Below are 26865 nucleotides of genomic sequence, written 5' to 3'. Positions count from 1 at the left end.
GTTTCTCGTTAAATCATCACAGACATCTGTCTCTCTTGCCTTCCCTATCCGTCCACTCCACTCTCCTCTCTTACTCTTAACATTCTTCTCTTGATCTTCTTGTCAGTTGCCTTAAGAGACCTCAAACTGCTTGGCTTCTCTCCCTCCTCTCTCGGTATCCGGAGCCTCTTTTTTGGACATGTCTCAACCTGTTTTCAGTCTCAGACTAATCCTCCATAACACTGAAAATGACAGATGAGGTCAGACTTGGTGGGGAGGGAAGGAAGAGAAAATTTTTACCCAGGAAACCATGCTCATTCATAACTGGCTTTCCAAATGAGAACAGACTACAAGTGCGCGTGTGCACGTGTGTGCATGTGTGTTTTCTGCTGGCAAGAATGACAAATCCTGCTTTCCTCATAGCACATGTTTCCATTCCAATATGTTTTAAACTCCTAATCTATAAAGGGGATGAAGCATCAGAAATCTCTATCTTTAGATTAGTAGCTGGCAGCACTAGGGTTTCAGGAGTGATCCTTTTATTCTCCAGGATCCCTTAGCAGTTTGTTACCTTGCCAACTGGTATGCTGGAGTTTCAGCTGCAAGGTTCTTCGTGAGCTGGGATTGAGGAGGGGAATGCAGACTGCTGATACTAACAAGGTCCCTGGAGTGATTTATTAGTGTCTCTTGTCTCCTTTTATTTGACCGGAGAAGAAAAAGAAAGGGTTTATTCCTCCTGATAAGAGACTCATATTTAGGAGTTTATGTATTCAAATCCCATTCACCGTCACTCTAGCTGTTTTCTGCACCCAATGGTTCTGCCTTAAGACATGTGCAGGCCCTTTCAATTGACCCCAGATCCTTTCTAGCTGCCACCTGGTTCTTTTTTGCCTTTATGCCAAATTTCTTGGGGAAGGAGCTACAGCCAGGGCCCCCACATCTTTCCACTCACTTATAATCTAGTTTTCTCTACCATCTTCTACAGAACCTCTGTCAAAATTCACTAGTTAAAACTTAGCTGAGCATAGAGGCGTGTGCATGTAGTGCCAGCTACTCGGGAGGCTGAGGCAGGAGGATCACTTTGTCCAAGGAGTTCAAGGCTGCAGTAAGCTATGATTGCACCACTGCACTCCAGCCTGGGCAACAAAGACCCTGTCTCTAAAAGAAAAAAAATGTGGCTGGGCACAGTGGCTCACACCTGTAATCCCAGTAGTTTGAAAGTCTGAGGGCAGGAAGATCTTTTGAGGTCAGGAGTTCAAGACCAACCTGGGCAACATGGCGACACTTCATCTCTACAAAAAATATAAACATTAGTTGGCATGGTGGTGCGCTCCTGTAGTCCCAACTACTTTGGGAGGCTGAGGCTGCAGTGAGCTGTGATCGTTCCACTGCACTGTAGCCTGGGAGACACAGCAAGACCCTGTCTCAAATAATAATAATAATTCACTAATGGCAGTCTTAGTTCAAGGACATTTTCTTTGCCCCATCTCCCTTCACAGCAGCCAGACTCTACTCCTACCTCTCTGCAAACTGTTCCTTTTAACAGAGCCCTCTTCCTATTCTAGCCCCTACCTCTAGGCTTCCTCATCACTAGGTCTTAGCTTTCTGCTCTTTTTCCTTCCCTGTAGTTTCTTTATTCTCACAGTTAAGCTGTAAACTTGACCATGCCTCTCTAGGAAGCAGCACGTGAAGAGGCCCAGAAGCCTGCAAATAAGTTACCTAAACTGCAGATAGTTCGTATGGCTGGAGGCAGCATGTGAGAGAAGAAATAACAAGACACAGCTGGACCTTGAGTGACCTAAAGCTGAGAAATTCATGCTTGATTCTGAGATCAGTGGAAATATCTGCTCTTTAAACTTTAATGTGCATATTGATCACCTGGGGATCTTGTTAAACTGTAGATTCAGTAGGTCTGAAGTGGGGCCTGAGATACTCTCCATTTTTCATAAGCTCCCAGATGATACCCATGGTCCCTGGACCATACTTTAAGAAGCAAGCGACTAGCCGACACTTAACATACTATCAAGTTTTGGGGGGGTTCTATGTTGTTTTGCGTCTTAACTGGAATGTAATGGTCGTGAGGGCCAGGGTCCTGTTGTCTGCATCTTTGTATTCCCTATTCATGAGTTTCTTCTGGGTGTTCCTGTCAATGCTTAATTGATGGGATCCAGGAGTGAGTTGTTTATATCTTTTAGCTTTGCTTTACAAACACTAATTTATCTTCTAATCACAATTGTGAGGCAAGTGGATACTTTATTTTAAAACTGTAAATAGAAACCAACAAAGATGAATGACTTTTCAAATCGTGAGTCACATGTTCAGAGTCAAGACCACAGCCCTTTGCCCAGAGAGGTCTCAAGGAATCAGTCCAGGGCTGATTCTAACACTGCCTCTGCTTGGGTCCTCACTTGACCATTCATGATGACCTGCTGCTCACTCTCTGGACCTCATTTAGTCTTTTCTGCCTGGTAAAGTAAGAGACTCCCCGCTTCATCTCCTGAGGGCATTCAGGAGCCTTAGCAAGCTGCCAGCTCCATGTTAGGCAGCCAGATGCCTGATGCTGAGGTGACTGAAAGGTTGGGAAGCAGACAGCTGGGCCAGCCCACGCACCAGAATCGCCCCCACACCGCATCTTTACAGCTGCTCTCTGCAGTGCAGGCTAGGAGCGCCTTTCAAAATGCATTCTGAAGAGGCAGGGGGGTGCGGGGAGAAACCGGCAGGAGCTGTAGAACATAATCACCCAAGCAGAGCATCCCATATACCTCAACTTCAGTTTCTGACACTGAATCTTTGCTTTTAGGGATTTCTCCCATGGCCCTAAAAAGAAAAGTCACTACACAGTCTCTTAAGTAGGTCACACAGAGTGCTAGCTGATAAATGCAGATGCCAAGGCACTTTCACCCTTTTCCAAACCAAAAATAAAACTTGGAAATTGTCTGAAGAAAACAGGAGGTTGTGATGCAGTTTAAGAAAAGCCAAGGAGAAAAAAGTGGGTGGGGTGCTCCTGCCCTAAATTCACTCGGCCCATAGCAGACCTTCTTGAGCAGAACTTGACTGAGTGGCAGTTCCTCCTCCACCTCCCCACATCACTTCACAATCCTGTAGCTCACTTCCCGCTGGTCACCTCTGCTGCACGACCCCAGGGGGTTATGAGGACTCCCCACTCCCACTTTAGTGACTCTGTAAAAAGTCTCTATTAATCAATCAAAGCCTAGAAGGGGGAGATAAGGCAAAGAGGCACTTTTGGATTTCTCCATCTGAGCAGCTCTGTGATTCATTATCTGTTCTAGAAAGCAGCACACGCAGTTCCAGCAAAAAAAAAAAAAAAAAAAAAAAAAAAAAAAAAAAAGTTGGGGTGGGGAGCGGAAATGCCTTGTAGCCCACGTTCGGGCTCCCCTGGCTTTGCCTCTCCTTTCCTGCATCTGGCCACAAGCCAAGTTGGGTTTCAGCTGCTGCTCCTGTTTCTAGGATGTATACTCCCCTACCCACCCCCTGCTATTATGATGGAATTGGCGGTCTGGTGAGACACAGTGAGAGGATGATTTCCAGCTAACACAGCTGTGGCTTGATCTCCAGGGCCCAGAGTCTCTGGAGATTCTTTGCAAGTCTCGTGGTCAGGAAATCCAAATCTCTGCTCCTTCTTAGCAGGCTGTAGCATTCCCACTCACAGTTCTCTCCTTAGCAGTCAGATTCTTCCCGAGGAAAATAATGAACATGAGAGTCCTCAAGAGAGGGTGGAGGGAGGGGAGACAGAGAAAGACCCAGACAGACAGAAATGGAAAGACAAAACAGCTACAGCGCTGAAGGAAGTATCTGTGCCACAGAAGACAGGCAGATCCTGTGACTGGCTAGAAAGAACGAACCAGATGTGGATCAACATAGAGAAAAACTCATGGATGGTATCTTGGATTCTGGAAGAGGATCAAGTGTAGAGAGTACCAAAGGAAATCCTACACTTCAGAGACAACATCAGTGTTTGCACAGAGGGAACAAAATGGTTTTTCTTTTACCTCACAGCATGCAAGTTTCCAACAGCTGCTCTGCCCCGACTTGAGAGGTGGAATGGGTTGAAGAACAAGCAGGTGGGAACACATGGCTTTCCGCACATCCCTGAATTCTAGAAAAACTGAAAGGAGCCTTGTCTTGGCATCTGATAGAACGATTGGGCTGGGGCAACCTTGCAGAGGCCCCATTCATAGGGAAAAAGCAGAGGGCTGGGACCAGGACTGCCTTGGTGCTAAATGGATGGAAAAGGGGCAGCTGTCTCACCATCCTGTAAGTTAGGGATATGGCTTACCACACAGGCCTAGAGGCTTCTTGTGACCAGGTCCCAGAAAACTTTATTACATAAAAAGTAGATTTACTGCAAATATCCCAGATGATAACGGTTTGCCTCTATGTCCCCACCCAAATCTCAAGTTGTAATCCCCAGTGTCAGGGGAGAGAAGTAATTGGATTATGGGGTGGTTCCCCCATGCTGTTCCCATGATAGTTTTATAAATGGTAGTTTTTCCCGCGCTTACACGTGCCCTCACCTGCTGCCATGTAAGACGTGCCCGCTTCCCCTTCCACCATGATTGTAAGTTTCCTGAGGCTTCCCCAGACATGCGAACTGTGAGCCAATTAAATCTCTTTTGTCAGTTACCCAGTCTTGGGTATTTCTTTATAGTGGTGTGAAAACGGACTAATATAATACACCAGGCCAGCTCTATGCCAGTCCCCTAAAAGAATCACCTGCTAGAGATGCTCAGTAGCAGTGCTGGGTACCAGCCCTTCTTCCTGCAGCTTCCAAAAGCTGATAGCCAATACTCTATTTCACCTGCCCATAAGTGGGCAGCATCCGGTGATAGAGGCTGCTGCTGGTCTGGAGAGGAAAGAGGAGAGGCCCTTTCAGGAATGCAGTCCCTGGAGGTTTCTCCTTCCCTGCCTGAAGGATTCCAGAGGTCTGAGATAAACCCCAGGCTGTAGTCCAGCAAAGAGCTTTGGGCTGTATTCCTCTGGGAGACAGCAATTGCTAGAGAGAGATTTTATTTTAAAACCCCCATTCCCACTGCGGGAGGGAGCAGTGGTAGCAGGCATTGGGAAAAACTGTGTTTGAATCAGGAAGGAGGCATTCAGCTAGATGTGCGTATCCTTTCACACTTTCTGCTCTTCCACATTTGTTCCCTATCGTACCCTTAAGAATTATTACTGAAAAACTCCAAGGGCATGTGTTAAGATCACAGTGATTCCTAACATCAACTCTCCTTCTATGTTTTTTCCTCCCAAGGCTTTCCACTGGGTTGAATTTTAAATTTGAACAATGGTTCAAAGGCTGAGAGACAAACTGCTCATTACTGGAAAGAGTGCCAGGAATCCTGGGAAGCAGGCCTCCCTCCCCACCGGAGCACTGCACCTCATAGTAATGGCCTCTTTCATAGTCACGGAAAGGTTGGATCAGCGTTTCTTTTCATTCCTGTCTTTTTTCAGGGACTGCTGGGATAAAAGGAAGTCTAGAAGAATAAAAAATTCACAAACAGGAGAAGAATAAAATATTTAGGGCAAGAGATCAGAAATCCTTTGGTTATTCAGTGAACTGAACTAACTCTACTTTTTTTTAAAAAAGTACAAGGAAATAAATGTCCATCAAATGCCATATCACAGTGGGATTAGCCTGTCGACCCCATCACACAGGATCTGAGGCTAGGTTATCATGCCTAGTAAGTTGCAGTAAGAGAGACTCAGACTAACCCAGTGATAAGATGGAACAGTTTTATAATTATTAATTTCATTCCCAATATTTCTGACATCTTTATTCTGAGAAGCTTTCCACCAAAGTTGTCAAATGACCCATTTCCTCTCACTTCACACTCCCAAATCCAATCAGTGATGAGTAGAAGGAATGGAAAGGTTATTTGGTGCCATAAAGAAAACCCAGTCACCTTGGAGGAGCAATTCAGGCTTTCCATCATTAGTTCCCATCGCCAAGAACAAATGATGGTTTCTAAAAGGGAAGACAGGGTTAAAACAACATGGTTGAGAAGTACATACTAGGCCGGGGGCAGTGGCTCACGCCTGTAATCCCAGCACTTTGGGAGGCCAAGGCAGGTGGATCACCGGAGGTCAGGAGTTTGAGACCAGCCTGGTCAACATGGTGAAACCCCGTCTCTACTAAAAATACAAAAGTTAGCCAGACGTGGTGGTGCATGCCTGTAATCCCAGCACTTTGGGAGGCTGAAGCAGGACAATCGCTTGAACTAGGGAGGCAGAGGTTACAGTGAGCTGAGATCACACCACTGCACTCTAGCCTGGGTGACAGAGCAAGACTCTGTCTCAAAAAAAAAAATACATTACTAACATTTATCCCTTTATTCTCTTTTTTCCCACCACCACACCTGGCTAATTTTTATATTTTTAGTAGAGACAGGGTTTCACCATGTTGGCCAGGCTGGTCTTGAACTCCTGACCTCAGGTGATCCACCTGCCTCGGCCTCCCAAAGTGCTGGGATTACAGGTGTGAGCCACCGCGCCCAGACTTTATTCCCTATTAATGTGATCTTCTTGGAGTACTTGTTGGAAAGCACTTTAAACATCTGGCTTTTACGCAGCAGTCAGAAGGTTTTTTTACACCCCAGAGCTAAGGTTAATTTGATCAAGAGACTAGGTCCCTCCCAGAGTGGTGAAGAAGTGGTTAGGTACTAAAACCATGGCATCGTTTCTAGTCACACTGCATCTGATTTGGTTGTGTGATAGCCCTAGGTTGGCATTGGGAAGGCTCTTGTCCAGAACCTATCAATAAGCATGTTTTAAACATTCCATGCGCAATAATTCAAGCAAAAATAACTTTATGGGCTACTTTTTTCTTTACTCATCCACAGAAAGCATTTGTATGTCAACAAGAACTTTGCTCCTTGCCTGTTTTCACTTCAGCTTACTCCTCCCTGAAAATAGAGTTGTTTGATACAATTGGAAAAATCATCCGGTTGGTGTGAGACATTCACAGCAACAAAACTATGTTGGTAGAACAAAGCTTCCTGACTGCCAAGTGTCCAGAGAAAAAGAGGAATAAAAGAACCCAGCATTCACACATAGGACCACTTAAAAATAGATTCTCCATTCTCCTCTTTTCTTACAAATACACACAAATCTTTGACCACAGTGTATCTGATTTATACACAGAATTAACTTCTACATTAACAATAATTAACAGTTGCGTGCTTATTACATATGAGGTACTCTTCTAAGAGCATTAACTCATTAATTTTCACAACCCTATGAGACAGATCCAATTATCCCAATTTTACATTTGAAAAACCTGAGGCACAGAGAGATGAAGTAACTTGTCCAAGGACCCACAGCTAGGTGGCAGAGCCAAGATAGAAAAACCCAAGCAGGCCAGGTTGTGGTGGCTCATGCCTGTAATCCCAGCACTTTGGGAGGCTGAGGCAGGAGGATTGCTTGAGGCCAGGAGTTCAAGACGAACCTGGTCAACATAGCTCACTTTATATTTACTTTTTATAATTAAATAAATAAATAAATAAAGGAAGACACCAAGCAGCCTGGCTCCAGGGCCCATGCTCTAACTACTATACTATACTGCTTCTGCAACAAAAAAGAGAATGATCTTTTCTAATTCCTACAAAGCTTTATCCTCCTATCAAGTATGCCAATTTACATTCTTTAAGCAGACACATGGACCCAGGTTCATCTTAATGTAAAACCAAGGATCAACTTTAGTCTCATCCAAAACACATCAGCTCTCTTAAACACACCAAACGTTACCCCCTTTAAAACATAAAATACACTGAGATCGCTGTTCAAGCATCATACTTTCTAACAACAGGAAATGTTTGCAGAATTAAGGCCCTGGACACCTTCTTCAGTTTAAGCAGTCAGCACTTGATGGATCTTTTGTAGCTGTAACAGAATTTAAGTAGCTACTTTCTGAAAGAAAAAGTCAGTTTAACAAGACCCTAATTTGAGAATGTTTAATTCTATAAATACATTATTATGGCGACAGAGCATAAAGTACAAAGTTCCCTATGCTTAAGGAACCACTAATAGATTTGCCGAAATATCAAGGCACGAGGCACTGGCCTATTCAGCTAAAACAGAAGTTCGTATAATTGGGAGTTAAGGCCAAGACACCATTCATATGCCTCTTATGCTCGAAGGCTATGACCTTTAAACCTTTGTCTTTCTTCAATCTCTCCCATCTTTTAAATACCCTATATACTCGTAAGTTGTTAGAAACCAGTACCATCTTTTAAAGTCCTGGCAACTGTACCGTATTTTAATAAACACCATTCCCTAATTGATTTGCTTCTGAAATAGATTACTGAATACCTTTCAAACATTGAACATGAAGAGACAAAAAACTCTCTTAATGGCAGTGATTTTAGTAAAATCGATGGATGTTTTGGCTATCATCACCTAAGTGTCTACCATGACCAAACACTGATGTCACCATTTAAGTAACAAAACAAATCAGGAAGTTTTGCTAAATGAGAACTAAATTTGCCTAGCCCTCCTTCCTTATCTGGTTTGATGCAAACAATTTCCCTCTCAGCAATATATTTACTTTCTAGATGTAAGAGAAAAACTGAAAATTTACATCCTGACATCCACTGTGATGCAGAGGTGGACCTGACAATTTGGACAAGTCAGTCTCTTTCATCTTCCTATGTCAGTTCGAATGGGCTTTTAAGGTAAACTACTATCTAAACTTTTTTTTTTTCAATTACAAAGCTAAAAGATGACCCGTATTAATAGCTTAACAGGAAACAAAGTTTTGCTGAAAAACATTTTTGTGGATAAGCGGGGCTTCAAAAGTTGGTTAAATTACTTAGTATTAGACACCCACATATTGGGTGACAAATTGGTCTAAACTGACCTTAGAAAAGGCAGTTGTAGTGGCAGGTTTCTAGAACCTGACAGGTCGCCGATATTAGTATCTAATAGCAGTCCTCTGATCTAGGAGGAAAAATTAAACGTGTCTCTCTTGATACTTAGTGGAGTCAGTAAACAATGTCCTCAGTCTGCGAATGACTGATACTAAGAACCACACCTTCAATTTTCTAGCTCAGGCCCTGGTTTCCCTCCTCCCACTTCCCTCCCAACCCAGGCAGGTTATTACAGACAAGCAGGCAGTTACGTTGCTTCAAAATATTTAATACGTGTTAGACACGTAGAAGTTACATTTTTATACAAAAATCAATACAACGAAGGAGAAAATACTGTACAAAAACCTTATCAGCTCCCCCAACCTTTATACAACAAAGACTGGAGTCACCATATCTACAAAACCATAAGGTCTTTCCACTTCGGGCTTCTGTCTGTAAACTCTCATTAAACACTTTTTAAAAGCACTGTGTAGTACTTCTGACCTAGAGCTTTTAAAAATATATCTTTTCTCTATAAACTCCATTATTTCCAAGCTTGAACTCTTCTGTGAAGTTCGTCAAGCTTTTTCTCCCCTGCGGGGAAGCAAAGGACCGTTAATACGCCCCTTTCCTAGAGTAATCACAGGATATAAACGTTTCTTCATTGGGAGAGAAAGGTGGGGAGGGACAGAAGGAATCCAAGTCTGTGCTCTTGGCTAAATCCCTCTCGTCTTAGGAAATCCTGTGCGGAAACGCCACTCCTGGCCCTGAAGCGGGTCTAGCTTTCCGGTGAGGGGTAGGTGTAAAGTCCCTCCCTCCCCGGAGAACGAATGGGGAACTCCCCGGCCCAAACCTTTTAGCCGCTTCCTTCTCCACGCAGCCGGCAGAGGAAAGTCCCTGTCTGCCCCCAATCTCTTAAACCCTGGGGAAGGAGTGGTGCATTCCAGAAGAGCAAAATAGTCTTAATGCCACAAGACAAACTTACATACACAGACATACACAAACACAAAAGTTAACGATCGTCCTCTTCCAATGAGCCTCAAGCTCCCAGGTCTCCAGATAAGCCAGATGCGCCCGGGGGCAGTTTGCGATGCCCAGAGGCAACCAGTCTGCCCAACGCGCTCAGCGCCCGCGGTCTCTGGGCGTCCTCGCAGCCGGGAAGGGCCTGGCCCTCACTTCGGGGACGCCCGCTGCTCCACCTCCTCCCCGCAGGGGGGCCAAGGGCTCAGAAGGCCACGATGGCTGTGCTCCAGGGGTTCATGTCTCTCAGCACCGGCTTATCGCAGCAGATCTGCCCGGGCTCGGCGGCTTCCGGACCGCTCTCCTCTCCCTCCTCTTCCTCTCTGCCGCCCCCGGGGCTTTTCCGTAGGAGTCCCGAGAAACTGGAACCGAAGATGCTGATGAGGTTAGCCACGTTCCCGGTCTCCATCTCCTCCGCGTCGTCGTCCTCTCCTCCACTCGGCGGCTGCTCTAAGTTCCGGCGGGGCTTCTTGAGCGGGGTCGAGCCGGGCGCCGGGCAGCCCGCTGGGCCGCCGCCCACCCCCGCCGCGCAGCGCTTCCTGGGGCACACCGCGGGCGGCGCGGGGGGCTCGTCCTCCGCTGGTTGCGGCGCGCAGCAGCAGGCAGCGCGGGGGGTCGCGGCCGGTGTACCCGGCGGGTCCTCCCCGCCTAGGGGGCAGCCGCAGGGGCGGCGCGCGGCACGAGATACCTCGGGGAAGACGCCCCAGCCTCCGGCGGTACCCTCGGCTTCTCTGGCCGCCGCCTGGCGCGGCCCCTCCACGCGGCTCCAGGCAGCTTCCGTCGCGTCCGCCTCTCCGCCCTGAAAAACGTCCCCGACTCCAGTCACCGTGGCCACCGGCACCTCGTCCCCTACCCGCGGCGCGTCTGAGACGGAGGAGCGCTCCGGCTGCGGCTCGGTCTCCGGCCAAGAGGCACGAGCGGCGGGCGGGGGCGGCTCTCCCCAGCCGGCGGGTGGCCCGGCCGCCGGCTCCCCGGGCTGCTGCTGCGGTGGCGGCGCCGGGGTCCCAGCGGGACCGGCCAGGTAGAGGCCGGGGCACGGGTCGCTCAGGTAGACTTGGCGGGCGCTGCGCAGCACCAGCGAGACCAGGAGGTTCTTATGCAGCTTGATGCCGCCGCGCTGGACCCGCGAGTTGTAGATCTTGCCCAGAGAGATGCTGACGATGCGATGAGCCTCCAGCTTGAACTCCATCTGCTTCCCCTGCACAGGGCCGTCGGCGCCGGGGTGACACGTTTGGAAATTGGGAGGGAACGGGAGGCGCAAACAAGTCCGCCCCCTGGGCACACCCTCGATCACCTAAGACTCCGAAGAGAAACGACTCTGGTGACGCGCGCGCTGCTCTACTAACCTCTCCAAACAAGACAACTTCCCCGTTTCGGGTCCGGTCGCTAAACAGGGCAGCCTGGCTGCCCCGCGCCTTATATAGGCTTCTCGACCGCCAATCACGAAGGGCCGCCAACCGTTCCGGGGCTGGCCGGCGCGCCCTCGTGCGCCGCGCACGGCCAATCGGAGCCCGAGGAGGGGCGCCAGGGCCCGTTCGAACGTTAGTCCCGCGGAGCAGGCTCTTAAAGGGGGCGACGGCTTGCGGCCGCAGACCAGGCCCGTGGGGAGTGAATGTTCGGGACGGTGCTCGAGAGCGCTACTGTTTGGAGTTACAGATTCTGGCTTGTGCGATGGCTTGCCGGAACCAAAGCGAACAAAATATTCGAACTTTCTTCCGAACACGGTGGTGGACTCTGTTCTGCCATAAAGTCCTGATCCTTCCCTGATCGACTCCGCCCTCACCAGCCACACCACCGTTTCCAGGCCGGCCACACCTGTAAGCGACCCCCCTCAACCCTGGCAAAAATAGAGATGGTGGCCATACGCGGCGGAGGACACCCCTGGATAACAAATAGTATTACTGCAAAGTATTTGGCAATCATTATTTTTGGATGAGCCGCTTTCCCCGCTAGAGTCACATACACTCTTAGCAGCTGTCAGTTCTAACCCCAAAGAAAAGGGGGATTCTAAAAGTTTTTGCCTAGGTTTTTGGCTTCTTTTCAAGGAATCGTGTCTAGATACAAAGTTATTGGTTGTCCTCTAAAGCTGGCATCTTTCACTTTGTTCTCTAGATTCTAGAACAAACCCAGTTATCAAATAAGTTAAATGGAAGATGTTACAGGTTCTCCACAATGATTTTTTTTTCCTTTTTTTTTTCCATTTCCATTTTTCCATTACAAGGACTGACCAGTCCACCCTTGGAAAAATCGAGCAAGTTCTGAAAATAAAAAGAAAGAAGTCCTGTGTTCCCATGATGATGTCATAATTTCATTTCGTGTCAAGGTAAAAATATAGTGCTAGGGAGTTCCAGAATTTTCTGGTCAGTCAACAACTTAGTCCATCTACTGGTCCTTATAAGTATATCAGGACACAATTACCACGGGGTTGCCCAGGGTCCTGGACTGGAAACATGGAGTCACTTCCAGTTAGTTCCACCGAAGCTCCACCACAGACCTGCCTGAGGACTCTGGGTAAATAACCTCAGGCCGCTTCAGTGTCTCCACTGCTGAAAAGGGGGAAGTCACATACACATCTGCGTTATTGTACAGACGATAAATGACAACTTCTCAGCCACAATCTGAATGAGAAAACTAAGCACTGCTTTCTTGGAGTCCATGTGGAACCCTGGGCCTGATCCTGCCCCGGGGTTGGTCAAGCAATGAATTTATTTAGGAAAAATACCAGTGAAGAGTGGGCTTGATCATGACCAATTCACAATCTCCAGAGGATGTGATGGCTCAATAGCATTACCTGTGCCCACAACTGATGGTAACTGAGACAGCAGGCTCTGAGACCCAGAGTTCCTCCCCTCTAGGAATTTTCAGCCCACGTAGAGGAAGATATAAAATAATGACACGAATAATTACAAAACCAAATAGCATATATTGAGTAATGACACAAGAATTTTTCTCTTCTCTTTTTCTTTGCAAGTTATTAGTCACTATAAAGCAATGGCTAAGAGCACAGGCTGAGGAGGCTGGCTTCCTAGGTTGGAATCCCAGCTTCACCTTTCACTTGCTGCATGGCCTCTGGAAAATTACTTCACTTCTCTGTGCTGCCGTCTTTTTTATTACAAAATAATCAGCCGGGTGTGGTGGCTCACGCCTGTAATCCTATCACTTTGGAAGGACAAGGTGGGCGGATCACTTGAGATCAGGAGTTCAAGACCAGCCTGGCTAATATGGTGAAACCCTGTCTCTACTAAAAAAAAAAATACAGTAATTAGCCTGGCATGGCGGCAGGTGCCTGTAATCCCAGCTACTCGGAAGGCTGAGGCAGGAGAATTGCTTGAACACAGGAGGCAGAGGTTGCAGTGAGCCGAGATCACACCATTGTACTCCAGCCTGGGCAACAGAGTGAGACTCTGTCTCAAAAAATACAATAAAATAAATATAAATATAATAATAATAATGCCTACCTCTTAGAGTTTTTGTGAGGGTAGAACAAGGTAGCACATGCAAAGCTCATAGAACAGCACCTGGCATATAATAAGCTATCAATGTAGGCTAGTTCTCAGAACACACTACCCCACATACTACCCTGGGGTGGGAGAAGAGGCTGGGAGAAGAAAGGAACATAGATGGGAGAAAGTTTCACCAAAGAAGTTGTATCTGAAGAGGGTGCTGAAAACCTCTGAGGTAGGATCCACAAGTTCCAAGCAGCAGGAGCAACAGAGTCCAGTGTAGGGAACATCTTACTTTGCAGTTGTGCTGGGCACATGCCCAAAAGCAAGTGGGAAAGGCTAGAAACAGAGGCCGAGGCTGCATGATAGTGGGTTGTGGGTGCCTTGATGAGGAGATAGGACCACAGGGACCTTACTAAAGGTTGTTCAGTAAGGGAAGCACAGAATAGATTCTAGAACAGTTGGTGCATAGAAGAGCACACATAAAGCTCTTGTGGAAATTTAGGCAAAGGGTTGTGAAGACCTGAACTAGGTGGAGGCAACAAGAATGAAGAAACTGGCAGGGCATGGTGGCTCATGCCTGTAATCCCAGCACTTTGGGAGGCCGAGGTGGGCGGATCACGAGGTTAGGAGTTCAAGACCAGCCCGGCCAGCATGGTGAAACCCCGTCTTTACTAAAAATACAAAAAATTAGCCGGGCATGGTGGCACGTGCCTGTAATCCCAGCTACTTGGGAGGCTGAGGCAGGGGAATTGCTGAAACTCAGCAGGCAGAGGTTACAATGAGCGGAGGTCGCACCACTGCACTCCAGCCTGGGTGACAGAGCAAGACTCCATCTCAAAAAAAAAAAAAAAAAAAAAAAATGAGGAAACTGAGAGACAAAAGAACTTTAGTGATGATCTGGGATGCTCCCACTCACCCATCCAGGCAGGTTATTGCTAGTGTCAAGCCTCTTGCCTTCCATGAAGGCTTTCTGACCTGCCTGAGCTGAGCTTTTCCATCATCCACCACTGTACTCAGCACACTCCTTCATCATTGCCCTCATCACTTTCTCCTGTCATGCCCAGTGTCCCTCCCAGACTATGCCCTCATTGAAGGCAGGAGCCCAGCTCATATTTGTAGCCAGGATATGGTGAAAATACATAACAGCTGGTGCAGTACAGGCACTAACCATCAGAACAGGGTCCTGGAGGCCCTTACAATGCTAGGGGTTTGGAGGGCTCCTGCAAGAGGGGCTGCATGGCCAGTAAGGGGGCTACTCACGGGCTTAGGGCAGAGGTTCTATCAACTGACATGGAAACATTTCAATACTTTAACAACTGGGTTGGCTGTACCAGTGCATACTGAGTGATTATACACTTGGATTAATGAATTCCTAATAATAATAATGTTTACCAAGCACTGTGCTAGACATAGTACATGCATTATTTAGCACATTTATAAAGTTCTGAAAGTAGATATCATTATCTTCATTTACATTTAACCTACTTAAAGCTCCAATGTGGGGTCATGGGGCTAGATTGCCTGGCTCCTCTTCTCACTGCTGTGTGACCTTTGGAAAGTCATCTCACCTCTAGGTGAAATGGGAAATCCATATTTTAGTTTGCTTATATAGGCAAGTTATTTAACCTCTTTGTGCCTCAGTCTCCTGTGAAAAATGGGAATAATAAAAATAACTAAATTGCTTAGTACAGTTCCTAGCACCATATAAACACTTATAATTCTTAGTTATTGTTGTTATTATGGTTATTGTTATCACACCAGTGCCTAGCACAGTTCTGAACACATAGTAGGTACACTCTTAGTACTTGTTGAATTTTTAATGCTTTTTCTGCTGTACCACATAATAGGTGCTTAATAAATGTCTGATGACTTGCAAGTTGCACATTATCACTGTCATTATCAGGATTTTCTTTGATCCTGAGCCAACGAAATGGAACCTTTAGAACTCATGTCTGGAGGGCCCGAGTTCGTATGATCAGGAAACTTCACCTCCACCTACCAAAAAAAGCAGGACGATAGCATATTCTTTTAAGATTTAGCAAGCAGGAACTGAGTTAGAATTTGCCATCATCCATCTCTGAGATTTTGTCAGTTGAAAAGAGAAGTTCGCAGCATGATCAGAAACAGTAGGGTTGTCAGAAGAACAGAGGAACCAACTGCTCTGGAAGAAAAGGCCAGAGCACCTCCCACAGGTCTGTTCTGTCTTTTCACCCCTCTGCTGGGCACAGGCAGATTAGTACAAGGAGCTTTGGGCTCTGCTGTTTCCACAGCTGTCTGAGGTCACTCAGGCGCTATCTGGGCTCAAGCCTGTGGATTCCTGTCGCACAGGCTGCTCTGCCCACTGCTGTTGACACTATTTACGCCCTTGTTTACACAACTAATTGAAGGCTAAGTATTATTATCAGATGATTAAAGATCTTAACTTGCCTTAAATTACGTCTAGTCTGTGCAAACCCACTACAGATTATGCACACGGTAGCTATGTGAGAAGTAACAATTAGTAAGAAGGGAGTTGGTGAAAGAAAAATAAGTTATTTGCACTGTCCCTACCTTTCAATATTAGGACATTTTCAATTGGTGGGGGGTGAGGGGCAGTGTCAAAATTGCTTATGCAATCAAATAGTCATTTGTATGACATACTAAATATTTAGGGGGAAAAGATCTATAAAAATACATTATTAGCACTTTATGTAAGTGATACTCCTTTTTTTCTTCTGAGAACAGACAAATCCACTTTTTTTTTTTTTTTTTTTTTTTTTGAGACAGAATCTCACTCTGTTGCCCAGGCTGGAGTGCAGTGGTGTGATCATGGCTCACTGAAACTTCCGCCTCTCAGTCTTCCAAGTAGCTGGGACAACAGGCGCATGCCACCACAATGGCTAATTTTTGTATTTTTAGTAGAGATGGGGTTTCACCATGTTTGCTACGCTGGTCTCAAACTCCTGACCTCAATTGATCCACCTGCCTCGGCCTTCCAAAGTGCTGGGATTACAGGTATGAGCCACTGCACCTGGCCCAAATCCACTTTTTAATTTGTTCCTTTTTTCTCTCACTATTCTGGATATTGTACATCTTTTTTTTTTTTTCTCTTGGCTGCTTGATTTTCTTTTTCATTTTTCTTTTTTTTAATTTTAATTTTAATTTTTTTTTTTTGAGACAGAGCCCTGCTCCATCGCCCAGGCTGGAGTGCAGTGGCACAATCTCGGCTCACTGCAGCCTCCACCTCCCGGGTTCAAGCAATTCTCCTGCCTCAGCCTCCCGAGTAGCTGGGACTACAGGCGTGCGCCACCATGCCTGGCTAATTTTTGTATTTTTAGTAGAGACAGGGTTTCACCATGTTGGCCAGGATGGTCTTGATCTCTTGACCTTGTGATCCGCCCGCCTCAGCCTCCCAAAGTGCTGGGATTACAGGCGTGAGCCACCTTGCCTGGCCCTGGCTGCTTGATTTTCTATATAATTTTTAAATTTTCAAATGGTGTTTGACTAGGAATGCACATCAAAACCTGTCTTTTTCCCTTCTCTCCATTTTCATTCCTAAACTGCTTACAACCCTGCCCACCTTCTTGTACTAAATTTTGAATCTTTGTTCAGATAACCTTAAATTGTTTTTTGTTTTTTCTGTTTTTTGGTTTTTGTTTTGTTTTTGTTTTTGTTTTTTAGACAGAGTCTTGCTCTGTCACCCAGGCTGGAGTACAGTGGTGGGATCTCAGCTTACTGCAACCTCTGCGTCCTGGGTTCAAGAGATTCTTGTGTCTTAGCCTCCCTGGGATTACAGGCGTGCGCCACCACACCTGGTTAATTTTTTTGTATTTTTAGTAGAGATAGGGTTTCACCATGTTGGCCAAGCTGGTCTTGAATTCCCGACCTCAAGTGATCTGCCTGCCTTAGCCTCCCAAAATGCTAGGATTACAGGCGTGAGCCACTGCACCGGCCACTAGAGAACCTTAAATTGTTTTTATGATCAACTTTTTCAGATTCTGTCTCCTTTAAGACTCCTAAGGAAAACAGATTCTTCAATAAGGGTAGAGCAATCAAACTCATTAAAATGAGCCTAGGATCCTATCAAGCTGCAGAATGAGAAAACACCACCATATAAAACCCTAGACCTGTGCTGTTCACTACATTGGCTACTAGCCACATGTGGCTAGTGAGCACATGAAATGTGTTAAGTACAACTGAGGAACTGCATTTTACGTTTTATGTAATTTTAATCCATTTAAATTTAAAAATTGAAGCAGAATACGTGTTCCCTGAAACCCAATCTTATTGTGTCATGTTTTTGAATTTTGAAAATCTAGCATCTCAGTTGATATGTGCTGTAACCGTAAAATACACAGCAGGTTTCAAAGACATAGGATGAAAAAGAGAATGTAAAATATCTCATTTGTATTTTTATAATGGCTATATGTTGAAATTATATAATTTAGATATATTGGGTTAAATAAAATAGATTATTAATATTAATTTAATCTGTTTATAAAATTTTACATATGTGGCTCAAATTATATTTCTATTGGACAATACTGCCCTGGGGACAATAAGGGGAGAGGGAGGTGTAGACATATAAATATGCATGAGCATATTGTGGGCAATTAACAAATGTCCTTGATTGGGGAAGAGGGAAAGGACAGAAAAGATAAATTTTAAAAGAAATGAAACATAAAACACTTAGATAGTTGTAGAGTTAAGGAGAAAATCAAAGAAAAATGTAAACAACAGAACTAATTGGCCAGAAGAAAGTTCTTTCTAAACAGACAACCACAAGTTCGAGGAGCACAGTTCTCCTTATTTGAATGCCATGACATAGAAATTATCACAATATTAGTTTTTAATTCAAAATATAAACATGAAAACTTAAATTTCAGAGGAGTATTTACATGGATAACATCAATCCCCTGGGTTGTTAGGGTGCATTTATTCCTTTCAATTCTGATGTCTTTCTAGAAGTTGCAGGACCATTTGTTTTTAATGTGCCATTTTCCTGCACAAAAACCCTCAGTGGCTTCCCATGACCTTTTATGGCAAAAATCCAATTCTCTGGCGTGGTCTCCAGAGTACTACACAATACATTGTCAAAGACAAACAACCGAGAGTGGTGCATAGAGCTGGGGCTCATTGGGTGTCCTGGCAGCTCTTACCAGCTGTGTGTCAGCAAATTTGAAGGTGGTCCTTTTCTCATAAAACTGGGGAGTTGGACTAAATCAGTAGACCTCAAACTAAGGCTGTACGTTAGAATCACCTGGGGAACTTTTAAACTTCCAGACACCCAGGCCTCACCCAGATCAGTTAAATCAGTCTCTGGGGTGAAACCCAGCACTGAAATTTTTAAAAGCTCCGTGAGTAATTACAACGTGCATCCACATTTGAGAACTGGTGTCCTAGCTGATTGTTTTAGAATCATTTTAGGTCCAAAATTCTATGATTCTATGAACCTAGGCTAATCTTTCCAACCTTTCTACTATCCTGAACAACATAAATGCCCTCTTTCTCAGCTAGACAGATCTAATCAAAAGTATATATCTTGGCCGAGTGCGGTGGCTCAGACCTGTAATCCCAGCACTTTGGGAGGCTGAGGCGGGTGGATCACCTGAGCTCAGGAGTTCGAGACCAGCCTGACCAACATGGTGAAACCCTGTCTCTACTAAAAATACAAAAATTAGCTAGGCGTGGTGGTGCGTGCCTGTAATCCCAGCTGCTCCAGAAGCAAATCGCTTGAACCCAGGAGGCAGAGGTTGCAGTAAGCCCAGATCACGCCATTGCACTCCAGCTTGGGCAACAAGAGCGACACTCTGTCTCAAAAAAAGAAAAAAAAAAGTATATATCTCATCTAGTTTCTTAAAGAAGAAATCATCTTCCCTCCCGCCCAAATTCTGCACATCACTTCCTCCAGGAAGTCTTCTGTGCCCATTGATGCTTATTGTGTGCTCACACACACACTCTCTCTCTCATAATCCAACAGTTGTTTGTTACTTAAAACCACAGTAGCACTCACTATCTTGTGGTATCCCTTATATTTCTGTTTTGTATTATATTTTGTTTACTCATATTACTTAACTTTTATGTGGATATAGTTCTCATTTCCAAATAGCATTAAGTGCTCGGAGACAGCACTTTGGGAGGCCAAGGCGGGCAGATCACCTGAGGTCAGGAGTTCAAGGCCAGCCTGGCCAACGTGGTGAAACCCCGTCTCTACTAAAATTACAAAAATTAGCCGGGTGTGGTGACACATGCTGGTAATCCCAGCTACTCACTCGGGAGGCTGAGGCACAAGAATCGTTTGAACTGGAGAGGTGGGGTCAAGATCACACCACTGCACTCCAGCCTGGGCTACAGAGCAAGACTCTGTCTCGAAAAATAAATAAAAAAAGTGCTGGGAGATGCTCCATTACACTTTTTTGCATCCTGCGCTCCCTGTAACCAGCACCCTGAATATTGCTATGTTTGTATCAGGGGATGAATGACTATTGAATAAATGGATTAATTAATGGGTTCCTAAAATTTGAGGCCAGAATATTTAAACGCAGCCAACTAGAGGATAAAAAAGGTACTTGACATAAATTATTCTAGTGGTAGATTAACCAAATATTACTGCAAATACATTTTATCTTAGCCTAGCTCGTAATTTTTCATGATTCTACATTATACCATTTCCCTATAAAAGCTATTTTTCACAAAAAATAAGTTGATTTTAAACAGTTTCCTTTTCCTGCCATGGTGTTTACAAATGTGTGATTTTTATCACTGAGCTAATTGCTTGCCCACTCTGTTCTGATTAAACGTTTATTGTGGATTACTGATGCACTGAAAACCTTGCAGGGTATCAGCAGCTCATTTAGGGACCACCTATATATTTCTTTCAGCCAATAAGAAAATCTTGCCCCCTTCCCCCTCCTCCTATTCTAACTGTAGTGGCTAATAGAACATATTCTAATTCATTAGTCAAGTTCACTTTAGATCAACACAGCTGATCTAAATTCTAACATGAATGTTCATTCAATTCAAAAACCCTAAATCACTAACCCATCGTATGCTCATTTTGACTAAGCAAATTCTGAGTAAGTATTTATACAAACACATCCTCCAGTGCAAAAGGAAGTTTCAGATCTGCTGGCTAACCAGGAGCTAGTGTGTGGCGGATTAGTAGATTTGTGTTTATAAGGCAGTCTGAGCTCTTTTGAGGAAAAATGTAAAATAGGCATTCTCTCATATCCTTCCCTTTATCATTATCACTTACATAGTTCTCTGAGCCCAACTCCTCTATTAATAAGAGATCATTCCATTTGGAGTTTCCTGAAAATGCTGAAAGATCATTGTATTAAAAAAAAATGTAGCTGGGCACAGTGGCTCATACCTGTATTCCCAGCTATTTGGGAGGCTGAGGCAGGAGAATTGCTTGAACCTGGAAGGCAGAGGTTGCAGTGAGCGGAGATCGCACCACTGTACTCCAGCCTGGGCAACAAGGGTGAAATTCCGTCTCAAAAAAAAAAAATGTCAAGTAGGATTAGCCATGCTTCCACATGAGCATTGGTCTAGGAAGAAAACCAAGTAGTTATAAAGTGATTGGTGGTGTTGCCCTATTAAGAAGCATAAGATTTTGGCCTGTGCGGTGGCTTACACCTATAATCCCAGCACTTTGGGAGGCCAAGGCAGGCACATCACTTGAGCCCAGGAGTTTGAGATCAGCCTGGCCAACATGGTGAAACCCCGTCTCTACTAAAAATACAAAACTTAGCCGGGTGTGGTGGCGCATGCCTGTAATCCCAGTTACTCTGGAGGCTGAGTCACAAGAATTGCTTGAACCTGGGAGGCAGAGGTTTCAGTGAGCCCAGATCACATCACTACACTCCAGCCTGGGCAACAGAGCGAGACCCTGTCTCAAAAAAAAAGAAGCATAAGATTTGGGTTCCCGGTCTTTGCCCCTTCCCACCCATTTCCTTCAGGGGCTCACCTAACTCTTGGAAAGTCTTAGAATCACATGGGGGCCTCTGAGGTCACAGTCCCGAGTAGCTTTTTCTTAGTCTGGGACTTTTTCTGTTTGATTTTGAACTTGTCTGTGCTGTGATGGGGTGAGTGTGTGTCATGGTGAATTATCCCGTTAGTGTGCCTGGCTAGAATTGTTTTCATGTGTGTCAGTGGGGTGTTGGCGGGGCTTGGGGATCTGCTTAGTCAGTTTGGCTGCGGTGGTTTGATCAGAATGGACGGCAAAACCCCTGGTGTTTCATTTCTGTTATGAAGGGTTTTTGCTTGGCTGTTTTTGTTTTGTTTTTGAGGTTATAAATGATTTTTAAACTATTTTGATTGGCTTCTTGGACAATATTATGTTTGTTTATGTCTTTCCATTGGATAGAAGAATGAATTTTGTTTTTTTTTTAATTAGTTTGGGTGCCTGTGCCTGAAAAGGACAAGGAGTCCTCTTTTCCCCTCCCTTCTCACAGATGCAAGAGTGAAATAGAGTGAAGGCAAGGGCACTGCTCTGCTCTTTTTCTTGCCCCCCCATGGAAGGGTTTGACAAACAATTAACAACCCTCCCAACTCTGCTGCTGTTTCCCAAAATAGCAGCTCCTTTGCTGCCATGGTAGATGGAGGCCTTCAGGGGAGGAAGACACAAAAGTGCCCTCTTTATGAAGCCTGAACGTCTGTGAGATCTTGAAGGCAGAGGGGGAAGCCCAGGGGATTAAATTAGCAGGCAGCCCAACCTCCACCTGGAAGGGAAATAGATAATAGGCTTTAAAGACAGGAAACAGCTTGTGCTCCAAAATAATAATTTCCAAAAGCAACACATGATGGATCCTGAGAGAGTTTTCTTTCCCCTGACTTCATAATTTTGAAGCGAAATCGTCCTTTAAGATGTCGCTCAGCAAGTGAGTCAGATCTTCGGTATTCCTGCAATTCTGCTTCACCTTGCCCCCATATTTGGAAGGACTGTTGCAGCCAGCCCTTCTATAAGCCTGATTCTCAGTTACAGAAATTGCTCAGCATCAGGTCTTGAAGAGATCTGGTTAGAACCAAGACTGCTGCTGCAGCCGCCTCTCCTTCATTGTCGGCTTTGTCCTTCCTCCCTGTTTCCTTCTCTCCTTTTTCTGCTCTCCTCGCCTGCCACTTTTACTTCTTCCTCTTCATTGTCTATGAAAGACTCCCTCTCACACTCCTCCTTGTCAACTGGTACTGCCAGCCCAGGCTCTGTGGGTCCTGAAATGTCTCCTATCATGACTGGGGATGTGGATGGGAAGGGAAAGCACACAATGAGCTGAACGAGGGGAACAGACCCACAGCACGCCTTTGAGAAGGTCCAGAGCCGCAGGTGAAGAAGGACCATGGAGAAATGGAAGGACCAAACCGTGCCCCCAAAGTATCAACAGATTATACATATCAAATTGGAATCTGGATTTTGCTGTTTCTAAATTTCCTTGCAATATACCTAAAGGGAATTAAAGCAGCCATCAACAACAACAACAAAAAGAAATCTGTTTTATGAATGAATCCACAATCAGCCTCAGCTGCTCAAAACTACGATCTTGATTCCTTAGCATTGTGTGCATACCTCTACTCTAGCAATGACATTCTAGTTCCTACGTGAATCATACAACTGTGTCTTGATCATACAACTGTGTCCCTCTGGACTGGGACTTCCCTGGGGGCAGAGGGCAGGTCTTGCCCTGTGTGTATCCTCAGTGCCTAGCATAGTACTTGGTCCAAAGGAAGCACTGAAGTTGGAAGGGCCCTTTAAAGTGTTGGGGTGAGTGGATGGATGAACGGATGGAGAAATTAGATAGAGGAGGAAGACATTTGGAATACTCATAAATCATCTCCTTTTCACCCAATAGCCAGAAAAGGAAGTATAAAATTGGCAAGCTTTCTTCTGACAGGTAGGCAAAATGGAGAAATCCTGTTAACTTTGATGTTCCAACAGGACTTGCTCCTCGTATCTCCTCTTCAGCACCTAGCGCAATAGATGGCATGCACAGGGTTACTCTCAGTGCACATTTGTTGAATTAATGATTTAGAGAAGAAAACCAGCTATTGTCCCTTCAGAAGGAGGTTTCCAGAAAAGGGAATGGAGGAGCTCTGTATAGTGATGCAAATATAAAACGTTTTACGACATTGTCTTTCCCAGTCTTGACTCTGAAACATCTTAAAGAAGAAAAAAACCTCATGAAGAGAAGAGATATTTTTGGAGACCTTGGAAGGGCTCTTAAAATAAGGAGAGAGGAATAGAAATATATATGTGGTGTGATATTTCCAAAAGATCCTCCTTTAAAAGTGTCTGTGGCTGACTCAACTGTTAGACGTTTGGATCCAGAGATGCTTACCTTCTTTTTACTTTGGCAAGGACTCTGCATGATACATGGATATTAAGTAGGGAGGAAGGTCAGCAACGAACAGTTGGCAAAATAGAAGCCCAGCGAACATGGCTTCTGCTCTGACCCAGAGCAGGGTCAGGGAAAGGCTGTGTGAATCCACGAAGGAATGAGGTGATGCTAAGGAAATGCATGATTGTGCAGGTATATAACCAACATTCAGTGTAATGACACAAGAACTCAATCTGGGATGTGCCACTCAGCTAGCTTTAAGATTATTCATTTACCCAACCTGCCCCCTACACAAGTCAAGCCCAGAAAAAAAAAAAAAAAAATGTGTATGGGAGCTGAGATTTACATAGGCCAGGAGCCGTACCAAGTTTTGAACGCAGAAATTTGCCTGGGAGGTATTAGAAAGGACAGTTAATTGGTTGGCTCCTGAATGTGTTAATCCTGAGCAAAGCTGTGTCAGTACCTCATTAGCACATTAATTCTACAGACTATTCTTTGTAGTTCTGTGTCACTTAATATCCTGAGCATTTCTGGAGGTTTTTGTTTTTTGTTTTTTGTTTACAAAATCAGGTTGTATTGCAAACTGAGAGTCTTGGTTCAAAAGTCCTTCTTCAGGAACATTTTAGATTAAGAAAAGATAAGGTTGTAAATATATGTCTGAAATACTGAGCTTGGTTCTTTCTTTTCTGTTCAGAAAACCTGTGGCTGGTCTGGGTATTGTCATGGTTCCTCATCTCTTCTGGAAGCACACAATGAGAGGTGAGCAGCATTCCAACCCTGCCAGCTGTGCCAGAAATGGCATCCAGGGACGCTGAAGGATGCCGTGTCCTCATCTCCACACACCCATACCCTCTCTCTCAAAGGAGAAGGGGGTGCTCACAGTTCTCTTTTCTTTTCTTTTTTGAGACAGTGTCTTACTCTGTTGCCCAGTTGGAGTGCAGTGGCACGATCATAGCTCACTGCAGCCTCGACCTCTCTGGCTCAAATGATCCTCTGCCTCAGCCTCCTGGGTAGCTGAGACACAGGCATGTGCTACCATGCCTGGCTAATTAAAAAAAAAAATTCTGGAGGCAGGAGTCTGTGTTCCCTATGCTGGTCTTGAAATCCTGGGCTCAAGGGATCCTCCTGCTTCAGCCTCCCAATGTGCTGGGATTACAGGTGTGAGCAACTGGGCTGGTCTGCTCACTGTTAAGATACCGTCTTTACTCCAAAGTGATCTGCCAGTTCTTCAGTTGGAGCTCATTACCTCCATGGATTTTTCCATGTACCTTATTGTATTAGTCCATTCTCGCATTGCTATAAAGAACTACCTGAGACTTGGTAATTTATAAAGAAAAGAGGTTTAATTGACTCATTTCCACAGGCTGTACAGGAAGCATGGCTGGGGAGTCCTCAGGAAACTTATAATCATGGCGGAAGGTGAAGGGGAAGCAGGCATGTCTTACATGGCTAGAGAAGGAGGAAGAAAGAGCAGAGGGAGGAGCTACACACTTTTAAACAACCAGATCTTTTTTTCTTTTGAGACAGAGTCTGGCTCTGTCGCCCAGGCTGGAGTGCAGTGATGCCATTTTGGCTCACTGCAACCTCTGCCTCCTGGGTTCAAGTGATTCTCATGCCTCAGCCTCCTGAGTAGCTGGGACTACAGGCATGTGCCACCATGGCCGGCTAATTTTTATATTTTTGGTAGAGATGGGGTTTCACCATGTTGGCCAGGCTGGTCTTGAACTCCTGGCCTTAAGCGATCCACCTGCCTCAACTTCCCAAAGTGCTAGGATTACAGGCATTAGCCACCACGCTTGTCCTAAACAACCAGATCTTGTGAGTTGAGAACTCACTATCATGAGAACAGTAAGGGGGAAATCATCCGCCATGATCCAGTCACCTCCCACCAGGCCCCTCCTCCAACATTGGGGATTATAATTCGACATAAGGTTTGGGCGGGGATACAAATCCAAGCCATATCAGTTGTTTTTTACATATGCGATATTTTCTACCATTTTCTGCCTGCATGTCTTTCTTGATCATTAGATTAAAACTGATTCAAGGTAGGAATCTTCTCTCTTTTTTTTTTTTTTTGAGATGGAGTCTCACTCTGTCGCCCAAGCTGGAATGCAGTGGTGTGATCTCGGCTCACTGCAACTTCCGCCTCCCGGGTTCAAGCGATTCTCCTGCCTCAGCCTCCCGAGTAGCTGGGGTTACAGGCACCCGCCACTACGTTCGGTTAATTTTTGTGTTTTCAGTAGAGATGGGGTTTCGCCATGTTAGTCAGGCTGGTCTTGAACTCCTGACCTCAGGTGATCCGCTTGCCTCGGCCTCCCAAAGTGCTGGGAGTACAGGCGTGAGCCGTGGCGCCCGGCTGGGAATCTTTTTCTCAACCTGTATCTCTCCAGTAGAATCCAGCCTACTGTCTTGTATCTAATAGGCACCCCATAAATATTTGTGGCTTTGAATGTTTGCCAGATGGCAGAGGATAGTGGAAAAAGCATTGAATGAACAATGAGATTCGCATATGGAATTCTACCACTCGTTAGGCATGTGACCCTGTGCAAACCATAGCACTACACAGTCATCGGCTTCCTAATCTGATAAAAGAAAGGGGTTATCTAAGGTTCTTTCCACTGCTAACACGCTAGAAAAAGGGGAATGAAAAAGACTTTGAGTAGCCCAACTTTATTTGCCAAATTACTGGCAGTAGAAGAATATCTAAAGGAAATAGGAGATCAGGCACAGCGGCTCATGCTTATAATCCCAGTGCTTTCGGAGGCCAAGGTGAGAGGATTGCTTGAGCCTAGGAGTTTGAGGTTACAGTGAGCCATTGCACTCCAGCCAGGGTAACAGCGTGAGACCCTGTCTCTAAAAAAATAAAAATAAAAAATAAAGGAAAAAGAAATTAAGATGTTTCCTGTATGTTTCCATTGCCTATTAAAATCCCTGCAGTTCAAGTTCTAAACCAACACAATATAAGAGAACAGAAAGAACCATCATAATATTCCAGATGGTTAATTTAAAAAATAATTAATTCTCAACTTCAACCACCCAATAAAGATTCACTGATTGTCTACCATGTGCCAAGCACTATACCAGGACCTAGGAATACTAAGACAAGTAAGCCCTCATCCACTGGTGCCTTCATGAAGCTCATCTCCTTGTAGGGGAAATGGACAGGTGAGATTATAATAGAAATACATTTTAATCAGTCCTACAATATGACTATGTACAAGGACAAGGGTGAGATCAAAGAAGGCAAAG

The 26865-nt window shown here is 45.1% G+C and overlaps 1 protein-coding gene and 1 long non-coding RNA gene across 2 annotated transcripts, besides 10 other annotated features; one reads left to right on the top strand and one right to left on the bottom strand.

The window, feature by feature from the left end:
* Positions 70 to 269: an enhancer, noted in NCBI's record as "active region_2174". NCBI's record gives its function as "activates an Ori minimal core promoter by ATAC-STARR-seq in GM12878 lymphoblastoid cells {active_cell/tissue: GM12878}" and the evidence as "EXISTENCE:reporter gene assay evidence [ECO:0000049][PMID:35858748]".
* Positions 2603 to 3119: an enhancer, noted in NCBI's record as "H3K4me1 hESC enhancer chr1:181065969-181066485 (GRCh37/hg19 assembly coordinates)". NCBI's record gives its function as "activates a minimal SCP1, AML or CMV promoter by ChIP-STARR-seq in naive H9 embryonic stem cells {active_cell/tissue: H9 hESC(naive)}" and the evidence as "EXISTENCE:reporter gene assay evidence [ECO:0000049][PMID:30033119]".
* Positions 7052 to 11252, bottom strand: IER5 (immediate early response 5). The gene has a single exon (NM_016545.5). It carries the CDS (start codon positions 11047 to 11049, stop codon positions 10066 to 10068), a length of 984 nt encoding a protein of 327 aa, NP_057629.2. The 5' UTR covers positions 11050 to 11252; the 3' UTR covers positions 7052 to 10065.
* Positions 9445 to 9739: a silencer, noted in NCBI's record as "tiled region #8031; K562 Repressive non-DNase unmatched - State 1:Tss". NCBI's record gives its function as "represses a minimal TATA promoter and a strong SV40 promoter by Sharpr-MPRA in K562 cells {active_cell/tissue: K562}" and the evidence as "EXISTENCE:reporter gene assay evidence [ECO:0000049][PMID:27701403]".
* Positions 9754 to 9923: an enhancer, noted in NCBI's record as "active region_2173". NCBI's record gives its function as "activates an Ori minimal core promoter by ATAC-STARR-seq in GM12878 lymphoblastoid cells {active_cell/tissue: GM12878}" and the evidence as "EXISTENCE:reporter gene assay evidence [ECO:0000049][PMID:35858748]".
* Positions 10314 to 10533: a silencer, noted in NCBI's record as "silent region_1604". NCBI's record gives its function as "represses an Ori minimal core promoter by ATAC-STARR-seq in GM12878 lymphoblastoid cells {active_cell/tissue: GM12878}" and the evidence as "EXISTENCE:reporter gene assay evidence [ECO:0000049][PMID:35858748]".
* Positions 10734 to 10893: a silencer, noted in NCBI's record as "silent region_1603". NCBI's record gives its function as "represses an Ori minimal core promoter by ATAC-STARR-seq in GM12878 lymphoblastoid cells {active_cell/tissue: GM12878}" and the evidence as "EXISTENCE:reporter gene assay evidence [ECO:0000049][PMID:35858748]".
* Positions 11204 to 11473: a silencer, noted in NCBI's record as "silent region_1602". NCBI's record gives its function as "represses an Ori minimal core promoter by ATAC-STARR-seq in GM12878 lymphoblastoid cells {active_cell/tissue: GM12878}" and the evidence as "EXISTENCE:reporter gene assay evidence [ECO:0000049][PMID:35858748]".
* LOC124904465 (uncharacterized) lies at positions 11451 to 12155 on the top strand. Its single transcript, XR_007066762.1, has 2 exons — positions 11451 to 11677; positions 12082 to 12155. It is a non-coding gene; the product is annotated as an uncharacterized LOC124904465 (long non-coding RNA).
* Positions 20341 to 20400: a silencer, noted in NCBI's record as "silent region_1601". NCBI's record gives its function as "represses an Ori minimal core promoter by ATAC-STARR-seq in GM12878 lymphoblastoid cells {active_cell/tissue: GM12878}" and the evidence as "EXISTENCE:reporter gene assay evidence [ECO:0000049][PMID:35858748]".
* Positions 21410 to 21943: an enhancer, noted in NCBI's record as "H3K27ac hESC enhancer chr1:181047145-181047678 (GRCh37/hg19 assembly coordinates)". NCBI's record gives its function as "activates a minimal SCP1, AML or CMV promoter by ChIP-STARR-seq in primed H9 embryonic stem cells {active_cell/tissue: H9 hESC(primed)}" and the evidence as "EXISTENCE:reporter gene assay evidence [ECO:0000049][PMID:30033119]".
* Positions 21944 to 22478: an enhancer, noted in NCBI's record as "H3K27ac hESC enhancer chr1:181046610-181047144 (GRCh37/hg19 assembly coordinates)". NCBI's record gives its function as "activates a minimal SCP1, AML or CMV promoter by ChIP-STARR-seq in primed H9 embryonic stem cells {active_cell/tissue: H9 hESC(primed)}" and the evidence as "EXISTENCE:reporter gene assay evidence [ECO:0000049][PMID:30033119]".

Source organism: Homo sapiens, chromosome 1 (genome assembly GCF_000001405.40).
Source record: "Homo sapiens chromosome 1, GRCh38.p14 Primary Assembly".
Taxonomy (NCBI): domain Eukaryota; kingdom Metazoa; phylum Chordata; class Mammalia; order Primates; family Hominidae; genus Homo; species Homo sapiens.
Note: the sequence above shows the minus strand (reverse complement) of the source record. Positions and strands in the feature narration are given on the sequence as shown.